At 46.7% G+C, this 22,812-nt stretch overlaps 1 protein-coding gene across 1 annotated transcript in view, besides 2 other annotated features; it reads left to right on the forward strand.

Annotated features, from left to right (window-relative positions):
• GASK1A (golgi associated kinase 1A) overlaps positions 1 to 22,812 on the forward strand; it is a 78,405-nt gene that overhangs the window by 3,707 nt on the left and 51,886 nt on the right. The window lies entirely within an intron of this gene.
• Positions 817 to 1,317: an enhancer, noted in NCBI's record as "H3K27ac-H3K4me1 hESC enhancer chr3:43025326-43025826 (GRCh37/hg19 assembly coordinates)". NCBI's record gives its function as "activates a minimal SCP1, AML or CMV promoter by ChIP-STARR-seq in naive H9 embryonic stem cells {active_cell/tissue: H9 hESC(naive)}" and the evidence as "EXISTENCE:reporter gene assay evidence [ECO:0000049][PMID:30033119]".
• Positions 1,318 to 1,818: an enhancer, noted in NCBI's record as "H3K27ac-H3K4me1 hESC enhancer chr3:43025827-43026327 (GRCh37/hg19 assembly coordinates)". NCBI's record gives its function as "activates a minimal SCP1, AML or CMV promoter by ChIP-STARR-seq in naive H9 embryonic stem cells {active_cell/tissue: H9 hESC(naive)}" and the evidence as "EXISTENCE:reporter gene assay evidence [ECO:0000049][PMID:30033119]".

A 22,812-nucleotide genomic window follows, 5' to 3' on the forward strand; every position in this document is an offset into this window, starting at 1 on the left:
CTCCTAGTTCTTCCCCTCCACTCTCCATGTAGGTCCTGTCACAGTCACTACAGCCCCATCATAGAATTGAGGGATGTGGTGTGGCTTGGAGTGGCAGAGGAAAGGCCTGGGGTTTGCAGTCAGAATGGGGTTTGTGCTGGGCTAGGTCACCGTGTGGCTCTGGGTAAGCGCTGCCTTGCTCTGAACCTTAGCCCCTTATCTGTAAAATGAGTCATTGTGAGGAGCAAATGGAGTCATGGAGGTGAAAATACTTGGTGTCTCAAAGGTGCTGTAAGATTGGGGGCTTTACAAACGACCCACAAAAATAGGTTTGCTTTTTGTTAGGGTCTAAAATGGTAAGGAAGTCACAGGTGCCTTTCATTCAATACCAGTCAAGGGGATGCTTCTGGGACTCTTCTCTAAGTAAGGATCTAGTATAGATGAAATTTACCCTCAAGTAGTTTTCTTGCTTCTTTAAGTCTCTCTTCTCATCAGGCAGGAAAACCCAGCCTGCAGATGTTCGTCCAGTCTGTCTCCCTTGCAGAATGCTGCTGACTGGATGAGAATGTAGCTCCCCAAACAGCCGCAGGTCCTTGGAATCTACTGCTGGGGTCCCCTCATTGAGTCCCTCTGCACTGAATGAGTCGCAGAAGTCATCAGGCTTAGCTAAAGAAGAGGTTAAACTGGTATTGGAACCTTGAAATGCAGCCCATGGAGCCTGTGGGAAATTTGATCCCCTCTCTCTTCTGGGGTACAGCCCTTACTTGCAGCTCCTGCTGCATACCTGACCCAGGCTTTGTGCAGGGCTGGGCAGGGAGCAGAGTGTTTTAAAGAATCTACTGGCCCCAACCATACCAAACAGAGGTTGATCCAAAAAACAGGGATGTCGGGGGTGGTGGGAACAGGCCTCACAAAGAAATGAGTTCCTTAGTTGTTTCAGGGACTAGTGAGAGAAACATGCTTCAGCTTGGCCTCAAAGATGCCGACATCCTTCCAATAGGTCTGGGAGGCCCAATGTCTGCTCCCCACCTAAGGTACTAGTAGAGACACAGAGTGCATCAGTTTTCTTTGAGGCATGGTTGCTGTGAGTCACCTGGGGCTGTCTTTGCTTGGATCATCTTGTGATGTGACTGCTAAAGTGTTTCTGCCTAGGGAGTTTAGGGCGTGATCCCTCATTTTCTGGATGTGTCTGCACAGGCCTGTGTGTGAAGGACCACTTGGCCTGAGATTGAGGATGAGAGGGAGCCATGATTGTGGGAAAATCCCAGGCCGCCCTTCTTTATGTGGATTTCACTTCCTATCTCTCTCTCTCTCTCTTTCTCTCTCTCTCACACACACACACGCTGACTTTCACACATCACACATATACTCATACACACACATGTGCACGCACACACACACTCACGCATGCACACATACTCTTGGGAGTGGCCTGGGATCTGGTCCTATTCCCCAGAGTCCAGCCTGTGGCTCCAGAACTGCCAGCTGAGTGGAAGATGGAAGGTGCTTTATAATAGCATCTGGTGAATCCTGGGGTCAAGGAGGCTAAGAGTGGAAGGAAAGCAGGATGAGGGCTGATGTGAAGGGTGAGGAAACAGCAGGAGTATAACTGAAATGCAGATTCAGTCACTCACCACTTGTAGAGTCCAATTAACAAGAGCAAGGTCTAGTATAAAGAAAGTGACTTTATTCTAAAGCTTAGCTTAGGGGAAGAGGTACAGGCTCCTGCCTTTAAGGGTACCGCTTTGCTTTAGAGCAGAAAGCAGGGTCCTTTAAATGAATACTTGGCATGAATGGCATGCAGGGGAGTGAGCAAGCAGGTGGGGGTCTCCGTGACTTGCTTTGGTGCCTTATCTACCAGGGAGTTGAGCTAGCACCATCACAGGCAGAGCTAGGTTGTAAGGTCATCGTTGTCTTGAGATACTCTCCAGGTGGGAAAGAGTTTTGGAGTGGGCATACTTTAGGTTGTAAATTGACTGTTATCTCTCGAGGCAAGCTCCTGGTGGAAGGTAGCTCAGGCTCTGGAGCTTCTAAGTAAGCACATAGTTAGATAAGCTTTTCATATAGGGAGTGTTTGGTGAAGGGAAGGTAGAGCTTCTAACTGCATTTCTAAAGAGCTAAGTAGGAAGCAAGGATTGAGGGAAAAGGAGGAAGATAGAAGAAAAAATAATTAAAAAAATAACTTATTCTCTTTGTCTTAGAAAAATGGGGGTACTCGGTTATAGGGGCCTCACTCTGATTTCTAGGCCTTCACAAGTTCTGAAGGAACGGGTGTCTCCATGGGCAGGGACTGAGTCTTACTCCCAAGTGACTTTGGAATTCCTGAGTGGCATATCAAGAAGGCCACAAATGGAGGATTCACATTCAATGTGTAAATGTGTGTTAATGCTCCCTCTGTCTCCCTGCCGTCTTGTCATTCATTCATTCATCCATTCATTTATAAAATGTCTGCTTTAAGCCAGACATTGTGTAGGGCAGAAAATAGAAAAATCAAAAATACATACCCTGCTTCTGAGGAGTACACAGTTTATTGAGGCTGCCTGTGCATACGTGTGTGTGTGTGTGTGTGTGTGTGTGTGTGTGTGTGTGTGGGCGGAGGCAGGGGAGCAGGTGGTAGGTGGTAGGTTCAGGGGAGAGGGAAGCACAAGGAAATGCTTCAGCCCTGTGGGCCAAATATTCTGCTGAAGATATAGAGAAAGGATAGACCCAACCTGAGGAGTGAGTGGGGCAGAGGGAGCCTCCAGGACAGGGAGTATCTGAGGAGGATCTGGATTCTGTCAAGGGAAGAAAGGAGAAGCCACTGTACATCTGTTAGAATAGTTAAAAAGTGAAGCAAAACACCCTGACAACCTCAAGTATTGGTCAGGATGCCAGCAACAGGAACTCTCATACATGAAAGTGGGAAACACAGTAGAAAGCAGTTTGTTAGTTTTTTAAAAGTTAAACATACACTTACCATATATCCCAGCAATCCCATTCCTGTGTGTTTATGCAGGAGGAATGAAAACATATGTCTACAAAAAAACCTGATGCAAATGTTTATAACAGCTTTACGTATAATTGCCCCAAACTGGAAACAACCCAAATGTTGCTCAAGTGTAACTGGATAAACTGTGGTATGTCCATACGGTGGACTACTCCTCAGCAATAGAAAAGAACCATAGATCCATGCAACAACGTGGAGGGATGTCAAAGGCATTATGCTGACTGGGAGAAACCAATCCTACTGGGTTACATACTGTGGTATTCCTTTTAAATGACATTCTAGAAAAGGCAAAACTATAGGGATGGAAAACAGATCAGCGGTTGCAGGGGTTAGGGGTAGAGAGGCTGTGATTACAAAGGGGCAGCACAAAGGAGAATTCTGGAGTGATGGAACTGTTGTGTCCTGACTGTGGTGGTGGACATGCAAATCTAATACATGTGTTAAAACTCATAGAATGATACAGAAAAGTTTCAGGTTTACTGTATGTAAATTAAAATATATATATAACAAAAAGAAGAGGGAAAGGCATTCTAGCAGAAGGAATAGCACATGCAAAACCCCTGGAGGCAAAAATGAGCTGTTAAAATTTGGCTGGGAAGGAGCTGGGCTGGGACCACAGGGGAACCTCCTGGAGATGGGGCTGGGGCCAGGGCCTGGCTCTTGGATGTGGGTGCTCGCCCCACCAGCTAGGGGTTTGTGTTATTGTCCCTAGGGCAGAGGGGGCAATGGAAGGGCTTTTGAGCTTGGAGAGATGGGATTGTGTTTGCATTTTAGAGAGCGGTTTTGGAGGCTGAGAAGAAGGATTGTGATCCTGGGGGCCAGGATAGAGGTATGGATTCTGTAGCAGGCCAGAGGAGCAGGTAGGGAGATGTTTGGGCAGGAGAACCTCCAGCCCTTGGTAATCTCAGATGTGGAGGCTGAGAACAGGTCAGGAGTGACTCCAGGTTCTTGTTCAGGCATCCGGATGTATGGGTCTCTGTCGGCCTTCCTCCTTTCTCTTCATTTTCATTTAAATTTAGCTTTTGGTGTTTCTTTTCTAGTCACACTTAGAAATTGTTAGGAATAATGCTCAAAATCCTAAGGAAATTGAACACTCAAACAAAGGATTCTTAACAAAGCAATTTTACTTCTGCGCAGAGGGGTGCCTCCTTGGCCAGTTGCCATGAGAGCACACCTGAACAAAGGGGCACGAGAGCCTTTATTCCTGATGCAAGTCCTGCCCCTGTACCCTTTCCTCATTGGCCGGGGTCGGGTCATACAATCTAAACTAATCCTGGTTGGCTAAACATTTTGATTTTTTTTAGATAGGGTGGGCACACAAAGTGGAGAGGAAGGGGAAGGGGTGTCTGTAATGAGCTAGAAAGTTAGTCCTCTTTCCAAATAAGGAAAGGAACGTGAGCTGGTACTGATAAAGCCTGGTACTGTGGCGTGCCTGGGCACCTAACAAAGGCAAAAAGGAAAAAAAGGAGAAAAAAGTGGGGGGAGGGGGTACTATGAATTAAAGAATAAAAGATTGATCAGATTATATGAAGAGAAACCTCATCATATCCCACAAAATGATCATATATAGAAGTAACTTAACAATGATACTAATCATTTTAATTCTATAAAATCACTTATTATGTTATATTCTTAAGAGCAATGTGAAGGTGAAATGTTGGATACTTCCCCTTTAATCCTTTGAATTGATTTTGTACATATTGCCTTGATAATCACAAGAGTAGGATAGAGAGAGGCTGGGTGTGGTGGCTCACACCTGTAATCCCAGCACTTTGGAAGGCTGAGGTGGACAGATCACCTGAGGTCAGGAGTTTGAGACCAGCCTGGCCAACATGGTGAAACCCCATCTCTACTGAAAATACAAAAATTAGCTGGGCATGGTGGTGGGTGCCTGTAGTCCCAGCTGCTTGGGAGGCTGAGGCAGGAGAGTCCTTTGAATCCAGGAGGCAGAGGCTGCAGTGAGCTGAGATTGAGCCACTGCACTCCAGCCTCGGCGACAGAGCGAGACTCTAGCTCAAAAAAAAAAAGGGATGGGGGTAGGATAGAGAGAATTCCAACAATAATTGTGTGTACGGGTTTATTTATGTCCCCCAAGCCACCTTGCCTGTGGTCCCTGATGCTCTCCTCCAGCCAGTGTAGACACCTGGCTCCCTTCCTTCTGGCCTCCAGCCCAGCTGACTACCACTGCTGGAGAGTGGGTAGGGGCTGTGGCTGCTGCATCCTTCCTAGCCCAACTTCTCCTCCTGCCATGAGCTTGGAATTCTGCTAAGTGGCCGCGGGAAGGGGCTGTATCACATGCTGTTTACTTGTGGGCAGTTTTTGTTTGGCTTTTGAGGGTGTTTGCTTGCAATGAGCAAACAGCCTCTTCCAGAACCAGCTGGAGGATTCAAATCCTCCCATCTTGGGGCAGCAGGTTCATGGTTCTATAAGAGCCAGGTTGGGTAGGGATTTTTCCAGAAATGCCATCAGCCAAAGAACCGGTCAAAAACAGCAGAGGGGATAAGATTAGAAGAGAGAAAGGGAGAGAAAAACGAGAAGAGTCAGACCCAGAGACACAGGGATGCGAGATGAAGAGAGTAAGGCACAGAGACAAACGAGACCAGCTCTGTGGAGAACCTTCACGTCTAGGCATGGTGCTGAGCCAGGCAGGTGCCCCTTTCAGCTTGTGAGCATGCCATGCAGCGGGGCTCCCGGGCTGCATGGGGCACACTCTTCTGAGCTGGGTTTCGTCAGTGTTGTTGCCCTTTGGCAGAGCAGTGCTGTTTTCTGCTGGCCTGGATGGACTGAGGGCTGACTGCCACTGCCTCTCTGTGCTTCACATGCTCCAGGGCTGTCCCTAATGTCAGCTCTGTGCTCCTGCTGGGGAGGCATTATCAGCAGGACAAACCCAATGGTTCCACTGGCCAGTCTTGCTTCTAGCCAGACAGGCTTTGCAGCAGTGTTGTGAGGTGACTTCCAATGCACTGGGCACTAGGAAATTCTCAAGATATTCTGGCAAGGATTTAAAAAGTAACTGTAGTGCTGTTAAATGCTTGGTGATATCTTTGAGATGGGAAGGGAAGACCCAAATACAGTCAAACCATAACATTAGCGGGCCGTAATTTCAAAAAGTGCAGGAGCCGCAGTCCCTTTCATTCTTATCTACAAAGGAGATGAATGAACTGCAGCCCAGGGATAATGTGATAACTCTTACTGGCCAGGTGGAAGGAAAGGGGGAAACGTCGATAGGGGGAGAGGGTTGCAGGGAGGAGCAAGGAACACATTTCCTACAGAGCCTGGGAAAAGGTGCATTAATGGATGGGGTGGGTCCTCACATTTGCTTTCTGTCTCCAGGTCTGTGCAATCTCTTCCTTCTAGGTGTCCCATTCTGTCTGTCTGGACTTCCCTTTTAGGGTTCAGAATGCCGTTGATCTTTCTTTTTGGTGAATGTAGAGTTGAGGTAGGATTCTTAGAAACTTGTTCTTTTGAATATTGTCACTGCTTCTTTTCCTGACCTAATTATAGGGGAATGTTTTCCTCAATTTTCCTTTTGGGCCTGTTAGGGTTTTGCAACTCTATTGTTTTATCTCTGTCTTTTGTAAATTGTAAGAGCAATACCTGTTTATCATGGAAAATCCTACCTGCTTTCTTTTTTTTTTTTTTTTTTTTTTTTTTTTTTTTTTTTTGAGACGGAGTCTCGCTCTGTCGCCCAGGCTGGAGTGCAGTGGCGGGATCTCGGCTCACTGCAAGCTCCGCCTCCCGGGTTCACGCCATTCTCCTGCCTCAGCCTCCCAAGTAGCTGGGACTACAGGCGCCCGCCACTACGCCCGGCTAATTTTTTGTATTTTTAGTAGAGACGGGGTTTCACCGTTTTAGCCGGGATGGTCTCGATCTCCTGACCTCGTGATCCGCCCGCCTCGGCCTCCCAAAGTGCTGGGATTACAGGCGTGAGCCACCGCGCCCGGCCACCTGCTTTCTTTTGGGTCTCTTTGGAGGAGTCTCTGTGTGGTGCTCCCAGCGTTAGACTCACAGCATAGACAGGTGCACCTGCTGGGAGGTCTGCATGGTCAAGAGTCCCTGTGCAGGGCCAGGTGTGGTGGCTCATGCTTGTAATTCCAGCACTTTGGGAGGCTGAGGAGGGAGGATCCCTTGGTTCAGGAGTTCAAGACCAGCCTGGGCAACATAGACTTTTGTCTATGTTGGGCAACATAAACTTATGTAGAGAGAGACCCTATCTCTACAAAAGTTTAAAAAGGTGTGTGCCTATAGTCCCAGCTACTTAAGAGGCTGAGGTGGGAGGATTGCTTGGGCCCAGGAGGTCGAGGGTGCAGTGAGCTATGATCATGTCACTGCATTCCAGCCTGGGTGACAGAGTGAGACCCCGTCTCAAAAAAAAAAAAAAAAGGGTCCCTATGCATACACCCTTGGGGATAACTCCCAACCAGCTTCTCAGAGTGCTGCTCTCTGCCTGCTTCTGGGACAGCAGCGGTGGTTGTCTGTGGTGGAAGAAGGGAGGACAAAGGAAACCCACATTTACTAAGTTTTTTTATCAGAGAGGCATCTGCCTGCCATGTGCCCGGCCTCCATTTGAGCATTGAGATGAGAATGAGCACGCTCTATACCCTAGGCCCCTCGGGAATTCCGAGTCTTGGGGAGGATGGGGGGCAGCCTACTTGTCTACTTAATGACAGTCATTGACTGCATCCCAGGTGTGAAGCTCTGAGTCCCAGGTTTGATGTTCTGAGAGTCCCACGTGTGATGTTCTGAGTCCTGGCAGTGTTGTTCTGTGTTCCAGGCATGTTGTTCTGCAGGCCAGGTGTGTTGCTCTGTCAGCTAGGTGTCACTCTTTTTTATTAATGAGGAAACTAAGGCTCAGAGGAACCAAATGCTTTGCCTGAGCTCTTGTGGCTGGGAAATGGTGGGGTAAGGGGCCGGACCCAAACCTGAATGAGCTCGAGGCTTGTGCCTGGGGGAACTATGGGCATGTATGCAAATGATGGGTGCGGTTATCTCACTCTTTTCACCCCAGCCTGTTGAGAGGAGGTCTGGGGACCCCTGAAGTCCCTTGGACCTGTCTAGGTGGAAGCAGTGGGGGTGGGGGCCAGGCAAGGCCACTGGCTGGGGAAAGTTCTTTTAAGGATGTCATCTGAGGTCTTGGGAGTCTCCTGGGGGCTTCTCTTCTATAAGTCTCCTTTTCCTTCTTTCTTTTTTCTTTCTTATTTTCAGTAGAGACAAGGTCTCACTTTGTTGCCCAGGCTGGTCTCAAACTCCTGGCCTCAAGTGATTCTTCCCTTTCAGCCCCCTAAAGTGTTGGGATTACAGGCATGAGGCACTGCGCCTGGCCAATCGGTCTTTTTCTTGCTGTTATCTCTGCTATTCATACCCTCTACAGAGTCACGCAGATATACACACACACACATCTACCCACTCCATGCACTTAGATATATTATTCACACACACATAAACCACATGCTTACATTGACATTCACAGTGTCACAATGAAATACACACCCACACACTGGTAATCTTGCATACACACTCACACACCCTCACACACTTGCATAGCCATAGAGCAGCTGCAGAGGTGCTGCCTGGGCTCTGAAGCAGAGGTGTTTGATGGAGTACGGGGGCTGGAGCCAGGCTCAAGCTGTGCCCAGACTATGGTGGGGGCTGCGGTCATGCTGCCTGGGTGCCTGGGCCCAGCGGAGGTGGAGGCTGCAGGCAGTTTGAGGGCTGGAGGCTGTAACGGCCAGTGAATGGGACATTTGGATGTCTGTGCCTGTGCTGGAAGGAGAGTGAGTGGGACACACAGGGTTCTTTCTCAAGGACAGAGTGGCTCTGTTGTCTGTCCACATAGAGGCTCAGTGTATGCCTCCTGGGGGACCTGGACCCCAGCTCAGGGACTGGCTGCTGGCAGGGTTGCTTCCTGGATAGCACGGGTGCTCATTCCCAGCCTCCCGGCAAGCCTGGCCAGTCTGCAGGCTCTGGACCTAGTTGGCTTTTACAGTTACTTACCACATTCTGGCCCCCCACCCCCACCCCTCTGCCCAAGATCCTGTTACAACTACAAAGATGCTATTGTATTCCTTTCTTTCAGAACATTCTCCCCTGAAACTCTAGTTAAAATCCCCTCATCTCCCTTTAGGCTGACTGGGCAGGGATGCCTTGTGTAGTCACTTCGCTGGGAGTCTGGAGAGGCTCCTGGCTCCTGGTTCACACTCACTTCCCTCCCTGGCGGTGGCTGAGTTTAGACTGTAATTGTCGTAATATCTTACTCGGTGTGGTTTTAAAGCATGAAGGGTTCAGAGGGTGAGTTGTAATCAGAACTGAATTCAAACCCTGCTCACCACCTTGGGCATTTCAGTGAACCTTTAACCTCTTAGCCTCAGTTTCCCTTGGCAATACCAGGGCCTCCTTGTGGGAATGTATGCTCAATGCTTTAATGAGCATAAGGCACCTTGCGTAACAGTCAGCACATAGTCAGTGCTCAGTTAATGGGGGCTGTGATTACATTCTCCTTGGACAACAGACAGGCCTGGAGGCATAGCAAGGCCTGGGCTTCTAGAACTGTCAGGAGGATCCTTCAGTGCAACAAAAGGATTAGGAGTGGGGGATACCTTAGACTCTGGCTCCCCTCAGAAGGAGTTTGGGATGTATGCCAAAGAGGGGCTGCCTTTGCCTCATCCCTGGGGATCCATCCCTATGACGGTGAACTGGAAACAGAGGAAGGGGAAAGGGACGCCTAGTTCAAGAGTTGTTGATCTGGGGTCCAAGCATGTGATAAAAACTTCAGCCGAATTAAATTTAAAAGGGTTTAATTGAGCAATGAATGATTCGCAAATCGGGCAGCTGCCAGAATCACAGCAGATTCACAAAGACTCCAGGGGTGCCTCGTGGTCAGAACAAATTTATAGACAAAAAAGGTAAAGTGACGTACAGGAATCGGAAGTAGGTACAGAAACAGTGAGATTGGTTACAGCTTGGCGTTTGCCTTATTTGAGCAGTTTGAACATTCAGCAGTCTATGAGTGGTTGAAGTATGGCCGCTGGGATTGGCGAACACTCAGCCATTGTTACTGCCGCATACTATTAAGTTAGGTTTTTAATTTTGTCTGACTATTAAGCTAGGTTACAGTTCATCCACAAGGACTCAAATATAGAAGTACGGAGTCCTTCTCAGGCCATATTTAGTTTGCTTTAACACATGGAATTCAGGGGAGCACTAGGTTAAAGAAAGTTACATCTTTATTTTCACTCATCTCTAACTGGAATTCATTGTTTCTTCAATAATGAATGTAGGCACCAGCCACAGTAGTGTTGGCAGGACCTGTGACTTTGTCACCAAGAGAAGTCACAGATATTTTATGTAATGACAGTAGAAGCAGACACTTTGAAATGTAGTTTTTATTCATCACTGCTTTGAAAGTGCATTTGTTATTAGGTATACTGATAGATATTGGTTTTTAATGTGTTAATAAAGAAGCACGTGTAGGATTATATCACACGTTTGTTTTTTAGAAGATCTGGATAATTATTTCAATGTAATTGATTATCTTGGTAACCCTGTATTTTTCATTTTATACAATAAAAAACGCATCTTGAGAAGGATCTTCAGCTTCACCAGGTGGCCAGAAGGGTCTTTGGTGTTAAAAAGATTCAGAACCCCTGCTTCTGTGTAGATATTCATCAATGTGATCTGTGTCTGGGGGAGTGACAGAAGCCCCCTTTGCCTAAAAGCATCTTTCCCCAGCCTCTACTCCACGGCCATTAAAAAATAATCTTTTAAAAAATTAAAACCTGATGTGTGCCAGGCACTGTGCTGGGTGTTGGAAGATAATTTCCCCTCAGTAATAATAACATATTGTATTTACAACATATTGTATTATGTCATTGTAGCATAACAACACAATAACAACAATGCCCAAAGCATTGGACTTTGTAGCTGTCTCATTCATTATCTCCCGGAATCCTCATCCTTTCAATGTTAAGACTATTGTATGAGACCCATTTTAGAGATCCATAAATAAAGGTTCAGTGAATCTGAGTCATGGCCAAGTCATGCAGTTCATAAATATGAAGGACTCCCAGGTGGGCCCTCCAGCCACAAATGTGATGCTTTTTCCACTCAATCAACCTGAAAATTCTCACACTTGGACTTAGCCCTTGCATTTTGATATCTAGTCTTTGGAAATTTTTTGCTAAAAATAAATATCCTTGGAAATTAGTTTGTTGCATCAAGCATGGTCCCAGGGGTCTGGGTCTCAGGGGCATCTTGTATAGATAGAGGAGAAGAAAGGGCAATACTAGAGAAGGGGCCCTGGGAGGGAACTAGGTCTGGATTTGGGGAGGCCTGGGCAGAGGACAACACCAGGGGAGGCATGGAGGCAGGAGCCGGGCCTAGGGGGATGGGGAAGGCCAATGCTGGGGAGGAAGCACTGATAGGGAGGGCAAGCTCTGAAGACCAATTTGACTGTCTTTGTGTATTTTGCTTGGGGAGCCTCCAAGACACATGCATGGAGGCTCAGCCTCAGTCTTCTAAGCAGCATCTCCATGAGAGGGCTGAGGGAACTTCCATTTCTGGAGGCCTCCGATGCAGTTTTCTGCTTGGGACTGGGCTGAGAGGGCATTCGGTAGACAAGCAGAACATTTTCTTTGTGCCATGGACACAGAGACCTGTTCCTCTTCTCTGAATCCAAGAGGGTCCATCAGACACTGCCAGGCACTTCTCTTGTCTTTGACTGAGACTTGTCTTGTCTCAGAAACTTGTTAATTAGGCTTTCTCCCTAATTCTTGGAAGGCAGCAGCCCCGATGCATATCATTTCCCCCGACAGCATCCACCACAGTGTAGATGTGGAGGATGTGGGCAACAGATGTTTCGATTGGTTGTTAGCCTCCTACATCTTATATTCAAATATCTCCAGAGTTGTCCAACAGAACTTTCTGAGATGATGGAAATGTTCTATCCTGTGCTGTCCAACATAGTAGCCACTACTTGCAGGTGGCAATTGAACACCTGAAATGTGACCAGTACAACCAGGAATGGAAACCTTTAAATTTTAATTAATTCAAATGTAAATAGTCACATGTGGCTAGTGGCTCTCATATTGGACATTGTAGCCCTGGACCAAGAGATATAAATTGAAGTGCAGATGGAGGCCAGGCTGCTAGCATAAGTGAAGGAAGTGGGCTGGGTGTAACGAAAACAAATCCGCCTATGTTTCGTTTCTTCAGGTTTACTTGAGCTGTAGTCAGAGAAGTGTTCATCTTCTATAAGAAAAACAATAAGGCAAATGAGATGCCAAAGGCAACTGTCCTTCTTCCTTGGTTTTGGGAGACAATAGGGAGTAGTGAGGCCTGTGGTGAACTTCAGGGAGCATGTCATTGAGAGAGAGTGTCATACTCTACGCCAACCATGTAGGGACCTGGGCCCAAAGTATAACTAGAACTTCCCCTTTTTCAAGGGAAGCCGGAAATCTGAATTTTTATGTGAAATATCCTGGATTTTAAATATTGGTTCAAATTTATTTAAAACACTACAAGCCAAACAAAACACATCTGCAGGCCAGATTTGGCCTGTGGGTCCCGGTTTATAAACTCTCCTCTAGGTCTAATCCTGTATGAATCTCTACCACCTCCTGGAGACTGGGGTGGATGTCCGGTGAAGAGCGAGGTGGATTCTGTCCTGAAGTGTTCCTAATTGGCTCGGCCTCCCCTGTTGTCATGTGTTTGGTCAAAAGAGAGGAGACATGCACAGGGAAGGCACAGACCTGCTCCCCTCCCCTTCTTCTCTGAGGTTGCATCTTGGCCTCTGAGCAGCCAGGGAGCAGAAATCTCTGGAAGGTTGGAAAGGTATAGCCCAGAAAGAAACTTACTTTATTTTTCAGCAGCAATCCCCACCCCCTCTTGATCCCAGCCCCACTCCCAGATCTGAGAGCAAAATGTGTGGCTGTTAATACAAAGGCAGCCAGAGAAAATTTCCAACAAATGACAGGGTCTCCAAAATTCCATCTGGCCTGTGGTGTTCCCACACTGGCACTCTTGTGAGCTGGAACAAAATGCTAATTCAGCTGTGGATGTGGAGAGGGCTCCTGGGGCTAGCAGGGCTGCAAAGCCCCAACGTATAATCAACGTGGAGACTGGACCAGGGCAACCAGCAAACAGGGGGACATAAGAGACACTCCGTTGACATTCCTGCCTATGGGGCTCTTGCTCTCAGCACAGTGCCAGGATCCCTGCCATGGAGTTGATCCCATGGGCGTTGCTAGGAAATTACCATCATGGTAATAGCAACAATCCTAATGACAGCTAACATTGACTGAACTTAACTTTGCATTAGGCTCTGTTTTGAATGCTTTATCTACAACACCTCATGTAACTCTCATAGTGTTTAGTAGAGTGATTTTATTTTTATGATGGACAGGTCACATTCTTTTCCCATCAGAATGTTACCACCATAAGAGGGCTTTTGTCTCTTTTGTTCATGATGTTTCTCTTCTGCCTGGAGCAGTGCTTGGCTCAGGAAATACCTACTTAATGAACTAATGAATGGACCACCCTATGAAGGAGGTACTAGGTACTATTATGACCCCCATTGTACAGATGAGGAAATCAAGGCCCAAGGTCACACAGCAAGAACACAGCGGATTTGAGATCAATGCCCACAGTGGAGTTGGGATCAATAGCCCATGTGTTATTTGCAGCTATGCTAGGCTGGTGATGGCAGGAAGCCATGGGGACCTGGCCATCTCCCCTCTAGGCCCAGAGATGAAACTTGTCAAATAGTTTGGGAACTGGAGAAAGGTCATGGTCCTGTGGTCAGGGACTGAGGGGTGTTCCCTGTGACCATTTGGGTGTAGGATACTCAGTTCCTGGCTCAGCCTGTGCCCCGTGGGCTGTAGGTCATCTACACTGAGCCTCAGGACTTGTGGTCTCCTTGGAGAATGTGCACAAACTCTGAGAGGCCATTTGTCTTTCTGATGACAAGTAGGTCACTCTGTCCCTGGAGCAGAGAGCTGGCAGCTGCATGTGCTAAGGGCCCTGTGCAGAACTGCACATCCCACACTCCCTTCATAGGCCGAGCAGTTTCAGAGCTGAGGCTGGAACCTGGGCTGGAATCATGTCCAGGCCGAGGGGCCCTGTGATGAGCAACCCCACCAGCCAGTGTTCCTCATTTGGGACAGGAGATGAATAATTTTTTCTTCCTGCCCACCCTCTACCCTCTGCTACCTGCACCTTGGGTGACTCTGCAACTCCCTTTCAGAGAGTCAGAGGAACATAGTTTTGTGTGTGAAGTGTCTGGGGTTGAGTTGCTGGGTCTGAGGGTGAGAAGGCCCTCAATAAGTCTTGCTGATCTCACCTCTGGCCTCTGCTCCCTGCTCTTCGGAGCTCCCTTTTGGCCTGACTTTCCATGTTTCAAGTGTGAGGTATTACATGTTCAAGCTACTACTTTCACACGCATGAGAGAGAGACAGAGAGAGGGGGGGGGGATCTGGGATCCTTAGAAATGGGGATAATCATATTCGGATTGGAAAACAACACATGCCCATTCTTTTTCAAAGGTGTATCTCCCAGGGGCCTCTCCTCCATGGGCTGTTCTGGCCCTCACTGGGTGCAGATTCTTCCCTCCTCAGCTGCACCTGGAATAACAGCTGCACAATGGAGGAGTTCTCCTCTTCTTCCCCCTCATAGCTTATGTTTATTGAGCATCTATTGCGGGTCTAGAATAATTGTAAGCATTTGACAGTTATCTCATTTAATTAGCATAATGGGCCTATAAGGTTGTGTCTTAGGTTGGCTTCCTCCAGAAGGAGACCTTGAGACCAGGATTCCAGTGCAAACAGTTTATCTGGAAGACATCACCAGAAGACAGCAGTACGGAGGGAGGAAGTGAGACAGGGAAGGCAGCCAGTGCAGGGTGCATGAGAGGGCAGGTTCCTGCTGGGGACTTCTGGGGCTCGGTCCTGCTGGGAACTTCTGGGAGGCCGTGAGGAACATGTCACTCCTAGGAGTTGTCCTCCCCTACAGGTAAAGAGGATGGAGTCTTTATTTGCCAATTCCTGTCTGCCATAGGTTGAGGGCTGCTCCTGGGGGTATTAGCGTCCCAGCAGGCACACTGCTGCTGACCACTTCTGAAGTCCTTTAGGTGGTCTGGGACATCGCCTCACTGTCCACTGTATGGAGGACACTGATTGTGATGAGTTCCAACACTGCAGAAGACGCAGCCGGGAGAACTCCTAATGGAAGGGTTCTCCACCCAAGAGCTGGTTGGATGAAGGGTCAGCTTTTGTGGAATATTCTGGGGGCCTCATATCCGAGAACCAGGAGAGGCTGAAGAAGAGGTGGTGGGGGCAGGGCAAGCGATGCAGACGCACTCGGGACTGGACCACCTGACAGAGTTCATGGCTGGTGGGTGTGTCTAGGGCAGACCTGGAGCTCAGCTACTTAGCCCAGTTTGCCCTTTGCTGTAGCTTGTTCTTAGCGGGGTAATGCTAATAATGGGAGCGACCACCTTTTGAACAGTTATTATGTCCCTGCGACTTTTATAGAATTATATACACATTAACTCATTAAACACTCATATCAACCCTAGGAGGCGGGTGCTAAACCTTCCACCATTTTAGAAATGAGTGAAGAGCTAGGACACCCAGGACAGGTGTCTCAGCAGGAGTGTGCGGTAGGCAGGGGAGGGGGTCTCTGTCTCTGCCTCCTGCTATGACAGACGGCCCTGTGTGGGTGGCCCTCTCCTCCTGGTGGCTCTTCCTCCCACCTGCTTACTCCCGCTCCCTGTGACCTTAGGTGCTAACCTGGGGTTTTCTGGTGCCAGTTCACCTGATATCACTTCTCTGGTTATAGCTGGTTCTGACTTGTTCCTCCGTGGCTACTAGTGATGCCTAGATTTGGGTGGAGGGACCCTCTAATCAGTGTCAGCTTCCCTAGGATTCACAGCGTGAGAAAAGCCTCTTTGTTTCTTACTGCCACAACTACGTCATTTTATCTATTGGCTTTTGGACTTTTTTTTTTTAACCTAATATGTGTGTGCGTGTGTGTGTACACGTGTACATATCAGTGTGTATAGCTGAAATTAAAGTCTCATGAAATAACATACCCTTATGACTTATTTTTTTCCTCTCTTCTTTTTCTCTTTTCCTTTTCTTTCCCTTGTACTAATGGGTTCCAATCACAGTGTGACAATCTGATTGAACTACTCTCTCATTTTGATGGAACTGTCCCCCTTCTTGAACTTGGTTGAGGTTGGTGGGAATGAAGCCAATTTGGAAGGCAATGCGTGCATTGTTGCATTTCCAAATCACCACTCCTCCCTGCCAATATATTCTCCACATTCTGGACGGAGCTGGTGCATACTGGTGCTTCTCCTCCACAGGCAGGCACCTTCCACATGCAGCAAACCCCAGGGTGAAGGTGCCCAGCAACCTCTGTCCTGGGTCTAGCTGTCAACCCCAAGCCTGCCTCCCTGCTGTTTCTCCCAGGGCAGGGCTGTGGGGAGGAGAGGAGCTTGTCTACTGGGGCTTCAGTGGCTGGCTCTCTCGCAGCCCACCCTGATGTACTCAGATTCCTGAGGTGGGCATGCTGGGCCTGGCCTTCTTGGCCCCCCTTGTTGCCCAGGGACTCCTACAGTAGAAAGGCATCTTAAAGAGGTCATGCCGCCAATCTCTGCAGCAGCCAGTATAGGGGTTGTGTTCATTTCCCATTGTTGCTGTAACAAATTGACGCACATCGAGTGGCTCAAAACAACACAAATTTGTTCTCTATAGCTCTGGTCAGAAGTCCAAAACAAGTTTCACTGGACTAAACTCAAGTTGTCAGAAGGGCTGGTTTTCTTTGGAGGTTCTAGGGGAGAATCCTTTTTCTTGCCTTTTCTGGCTTCTAGCAGCTGCCTGTGTTACTAGCTTGTGCCAGGAATTCCTCTATCTTCAGAGACCATCATTCTAGTCTCCGCTTTCATCATCACTTTGCTGTCCCCTCTTCTGTATTCATTTTTCCCTCCACTTGCCTCTAATACGGACACTTGTGATCACATTTAGAATCCACCCAGCTAATCTAAGACAGTCTCTTCCTCTCAAGAACCTTAACTTTATCACATATGCAAAGGTCCCAGGTCCCAGAGATTAGGGCCTGGACGTCTTTGGAGTCAGTATTCAGTTTACTACAGGGGTTGTCCAGGCTCTGTCTTGAGGACCACGTGTTCTTACCCATCATCAGTTGGCCCAGTCCTGTGAGAGCGGTCAGGCTGGAGCTGCGTGCTCCTGGGGCCGAGTGTCCAATGCTTTCTGACTCCCATCTACCAAAACAAGAAAAATCAGTAGTTACTAGATATTTAACAAGTAACTGCTGTGTTCTACCACTTCCAGAGTTAGGGTTTTGCTCTTCAGTCAGATTCCTCTTGGAGTTTGTGGACAGACAGCCACAGAGTCTCAAAAGCAGAAGGAGATCGCATAAACATCTCCTTTGGCCCCTGGGCCAAATCAGCAAGATTCTCCAGGCTTGGCCCTTGATGCTAAAGAGAGAGATGAAGGAATCTAGGAAATCTTCTCTCAAGACAGCAGCCATGCCTACAAGACCATGCATTTCCATATAATTCTATTTCACACATCAGAAGGCGAACATTCCCTTGGCCGACATTGCATATTATCTTTGTTACATTCCTCTGTCACATTTCCCAGTAGATGAATAAGATCAAGCTTAGGTTCTCAGAAAAGCAAACAGGAAAATCACATTAATACTTTGTAAAGAATATCCTTCTCACTTTAGTTGTTGTAGAGTGCTGCTCCCAAGAAATTAACTGTACAGTCATTCAACACACGGATGAGGTGATGGACCATTTCATTGTAGTTGTATTTTGGGGCAAAGTGGGGCACGGAGGACAGTGAAGACTAATTTCTGTTGCTTGCTAGTTTTGTCTTTGAAAATCTGGCCCTGGACTCATTTCCTCAATTAAATTTTACATTTTCATGAAGACAAGAAAAATTTTGTTCTTTTGAGACCCTATGGCACCATCATGAACTGGTGGAGATGCCTGGGTGCCTGTCACAGAAAGGAAGAGGGGGTTGAGTCCACATTTTCCTAGGAGGAGAGCTCTCTCCTTGGCTTCTCTTCCCCTCCTCCACCCCTGCCCCTCCCTGTCCACCAGACACATCATTCCAGATGCCTCAGTGTTGGGAACACCCAGTGCCAGATCTTCACCTTGGCAGAACCCTGAGCAGGGCGCAGACATTGTGGGCCTAGTCCAGAAAGCCGACCCCGGGTCATATGCTGTAAGAAGTTCCACGTCATGACACAAGGGAAGGAGCGAAACCCTTCCAGCTGCTGCTTTTCTTGGTGGAACTTGATGATATGCAGTCCGGGAAAGCGATCATTCCTTCTAACACTGGATACAGCTAAATCCAAACAGCACGTGGCCACATCTAGCCTGCAATGGACTTGGCCTGGCCAGAGCAGGGCAGGAAGCCAGAACAAAGAAAAGGAGCCAGATATTATGAAATATTGGTCTGTGCTCAGCAGGCTTATGCAGCCTCCAGCAAGTATGTGGACAAGAATGCAGAGCTTGCCTATTTGTTTGTGAACATGAAGCTGCAGACAGGGAGCTGAGGGGAAATATTGATTAATTTGATTCCCTTTCAAAAGAGGAGAGCTGTAATCCAAGATGAGGGGCTATGGCTACTTACTTCCAGGGACACTATTTTTCCAGGAGCCTCAGTGAGACATGAGAGGAGGTGAGGAAGGTAAAGGTGAAGGTGGGGATAGGTGGGCCCCTGCGGATGTAATTAGACTGCTGGCACTGGGGGCCTCTGGAGGCAGTCAAGTTTGCTTTGGAGGAAGAATTTCTGAGGGGTAGGGAGGCTTCCTGTGAGGTGGGTCCTTGCCTCACCCCTTCCCCTTCTCCTGCAGGCTCCAGGGGTCTGACCGGGCTGCCTGTCTCTCTTCAACCACCCTCTTTCCCACCCGCAGTTGTGGCTCCTCAAGGCTTGCTGGGCACCCTGCCCTTTCTACTGTCACGTATGCTCTCCCTTCCCTTTGGGATGCTTTTTATTACTAAAAGCTACACAGCATAGAAAGCTTGCTGATTGGAAATCAGCTTACTATTCTGGTGTTAATCATTACTGGTCTCCTTTTAAATATGAGTGGAGCCAGGTAGGTCCGCATTCAAACATTCGTCTTCCCAGAATCCTCCTTGTTAGATGGTCTAGTTTGTTTCTCAAGACAAACCGACAGTCGCAGAGGCTGAGTACGTGACATAATTTTCCAACTCTGCGGTTTTATTTTGTTGAGACAAAAGACTCAGCATGTGTCCTAAGGCTGGAGGAAAAACTGATGGCATATCAATTTCTTTCTTAAGGGATTTTCAAGGGTAATTCTGATCTGGACTTAATTTTTGCCTGATTTGCTGTATTCAGAATCTGATCTCTCGTAAGTTGGGACTGTACTGTACCACAATTTTTATGCTTGCTTTTGTGTTTTTATTGGTCCAAGTGATCTACTGCTGTTTATCCTTTAGTATAGCATTTCTCAAGCATTCTGTGGGCTCCTGGGGCTCCAAGGACCTCTGCCTTGGCTTAGAGCTGTGCTGTTCAATATTGCAGTCACCAGCCACATACTGAAATGTAGCTGGTCTGAATTGAGATGTGCTGTTTGTGTGAAATACACATTGGATATCAAAGATGTTACAAAAAAACTAAAATATCTCATTAATAGTTTTTATATTGATAACATGTTGAACTGATAATATTTTTTATATATCAGGTTAAATAAAATATATTATTAAAATGAGTTTCAATTGTTTCTTTTTCTTTTTTTAAAAATGTGGCCACTAGAAACTTTGAAATTTCCTATGTGGTTCACATTGTATTTCTATTGGTTGGCTCTGAGTGAGGAAAACATTGGTTTACAGCCATCTCATTCTTCAGTTCTTTTATGCTTGAAAATCAAGCTCAACAATTCCCACCTTCCTTGTTTCCAGACCTTTTTCTCTGATTTTCATTTCTGAATGTTTGAGGATGACAGGTGTTCATTATGCCTTAATTTTCTTATTCAAATGTGCCTGGACTCCATTTGATTAATTTATTTCTGCAGTGAATCTTTAGAGCATTGATCTCAATCTTGGTGATCCTCCTGACTTACACAGGAAAATAGCTACTTTACTTGGTCCCATAATCCCTTCAGATTATGTCTAGTACATTGTGAATAAATATGCATTTTTAAAGGAGACTAGATGTGTTAAAAGTAAAACCTTAGAGGCCAGACGCAGTGGCTCACACCTGTAATCCCAGCACTTTGGGAGGCCAAGGCAGGCAGATCGCCTGAGGTCAGGAGTTCGAGACCAGCCTGGCCAACATGGCAAAACTGTGTCTCTACTAAAAATACAAAAATTAGCCAGGCATGGTGGCAGGCTCCTGTCATCCCAGCTACTCGGGAGGGTGAAGTGGGAGAATTGCTTGAACCAGGGAGACGGAGGTTGCAGTGAGCCAAGATCGCACCACTGCACTCCAGCCTGGGTGACAGGGTGAGACTGTCTCAAAAAAAAAAAAAAAAAAAGAATAGATGATAGACAGAATCAAACTCAAGTCACTCCCTGCCAGAGTCATCTGGCAGCAGAGTGGTAGCACACTGGTAGCAGAGTGAAGGCAGCCTGCTACCAGATAAAAGGTCTCAAAGTGGGGCTCAGCCACTTCAGTGGGTATACTAGACAATCCACCAGGTGCAGCAGGAAAATATCAGAACTGCTATTTACGTTTATTTTATCTAATTCTTTTATGATTTTAAATTTCTTGTCCATGTTTTATAATGAACATATTTATGTAGTATTACATGCTTCTAATTTGTAAATAGTGGAAAAAAATGGTTTGTAAATATTGGAAGGATGTGCTCAGATTTTTTACCAGTAAAGGTGTATGACCAAAAAGTTTTGGGACTACTGACCCAGAGAAGGTGATTTTGCCCCCTAGTGATAATTGAATCCCACTACTGTATCAGTGACTCTTTTGAATATATGCATTTCATTCATTTATTTATTCATTCATTCATTCGTTTAGGATCTATGAGGGTGTCGTTGTTTTGGTAACATTTACCTGCTCTCTGAGAGCCTGGATTCTAACTGTTATTTTCCTGCCTGCCTCATGGTTGGAGAACTTTGGCAGGCTTCAGGTGTTTGGGAGTGGCAGAATGAGTGAGGAAGGCCTTTTTTCTTAGACTTCCCAAGATGAGTTTTTAGTATTTAGCATGTCTTCAATGGGGAGAGATGTCTGGGTCAGGCCATGGAAAATAAAACCAGTTGACTTCAGGTGAAAGCTATTTCATTGGCCAAGGAGACGTTTAGCTGCTCAGAGCGAAGGCTAATGAATGACTTCTCACCTAGCAGTTGAGACTGCAGATGTCAGATCTTGCCAATACTTCCCCCAGGTTAACTAGGGGATGACTAGGTTAACTGATCAGCTGTTTTATTGTTTAAGACACAAAACATAAACTAGCTTATGAGTGATCGTCACACAAGAGCCTACACCCACCCACCCTCTTCTCAGTAGAAGATGACTCACTGGATAGCTCAACCACAGCTTCTTTGGAGTTCCTTTTCATCATTTATCAAAAATGAGGGTGGAAAACTGGAACAGTGCTTCCCAAACTGTTCTCAGTTTTGACCATTATTTATTCACTCCCCTCTATGGAAGATGAGGATTTGGGCCTTTCACCACGTTTCCCCATCTCCAGTACAGACACATTATTCTCATCCATCCATTCCCCCAATATAATTAGGTAATAATTTTGGTGAGATCAGTGTTTACATTATGACTACTTAAAACCTACTCACAGATGTATTAGCTTCGTATTGGTGCGGTAACAAATTGCTAGGAACTTGTTGGTTTAAAACGACACGAATTAATTTTCTTACAGTTCTGGAGACTAGAAGTCCAAAGTGAGTCTTATTTGGCTAAAATCAAGGTGTTGGCAGGGCCAGTTCTTTCTGGAGGCTCTGGGGGAGAATCCATTTCCTTGCCACCTCTATCCTTTAGAGGCCACCTGCATTCCTTGGCTCATGGTCTCTACCTCCATCTTCAAAGCCACCAGTGCAGCATCTTCTCTCTCACTGACTCTGATTCCCTCTGTTTCAGTCATCACATGGCCGCCTTCTTGCTTCCCTCTTAAAAGGATACTTGTGATTACATCGGGCCCATCAGATGATCTAGGATAATCTCCCCATTTCAAGACCCTTAATTTAATCACACCGTCCGAATCCCTCTAACCACATAAGGTAACTTGTTCACAGGTTTGGGGATTAGGACATGGATATCTTAACGGCTGAGCAGTATCCAGTAGTACCCTTGGTTTCACTTTCCACAGTTTCAGTTACCCAAGGTTACCTGCAGTCTGAAAATATTAAATGGAAAATTCCAGAAATACACAATTTATGTTTTCATTTGTGTGTTGTACTGAGTAGTGTGATGAATCTTGTGGCATCTCGCTCTGTCCTACCTGGGACATGAGTCATCCCTTTGTCCAGTATATTCACACTGCAGATGCTCTCTGCCCATTAGTAACTTAGTAGCTGTCTCAGTTATCAGATGGCTATTGGAGTACTGCATTGCCCATGTTCAAGTAAACCTTATTTTACTTCATCATGGCCCAAAGTGCAAGAGTAGTGATCCTGCAATTGGAGTGTGACAAAGAGACGCTGAAAGTGCTTCATTTAAGTGAGAAGATGAAAGTTTCTCTACTTAAGAAAAAAAAATCGTAGGCTGGGGTTGCTAAGATCTGCAGTAAGAATGAATCTGCTATCTGTGAAATTGTCTTCTGAAGAAAGAGAAATTCATGCTAGTTTTGCTGCTGCACCTCAAACTGTGGCAAAAGTTACAGCCAAA

Source organism: Homo sapiens, chromosome 3, assembly GCF_000001405.40.
Source record: "Homo sapiens chromosome 3, GRCh38.p14 Primary Assembly".
Lineage (NCBI taxonomy): Eukaryota > Metazoa > Chordata > Mammalia > Primates > Hominidae > Homo > Homo sapiens.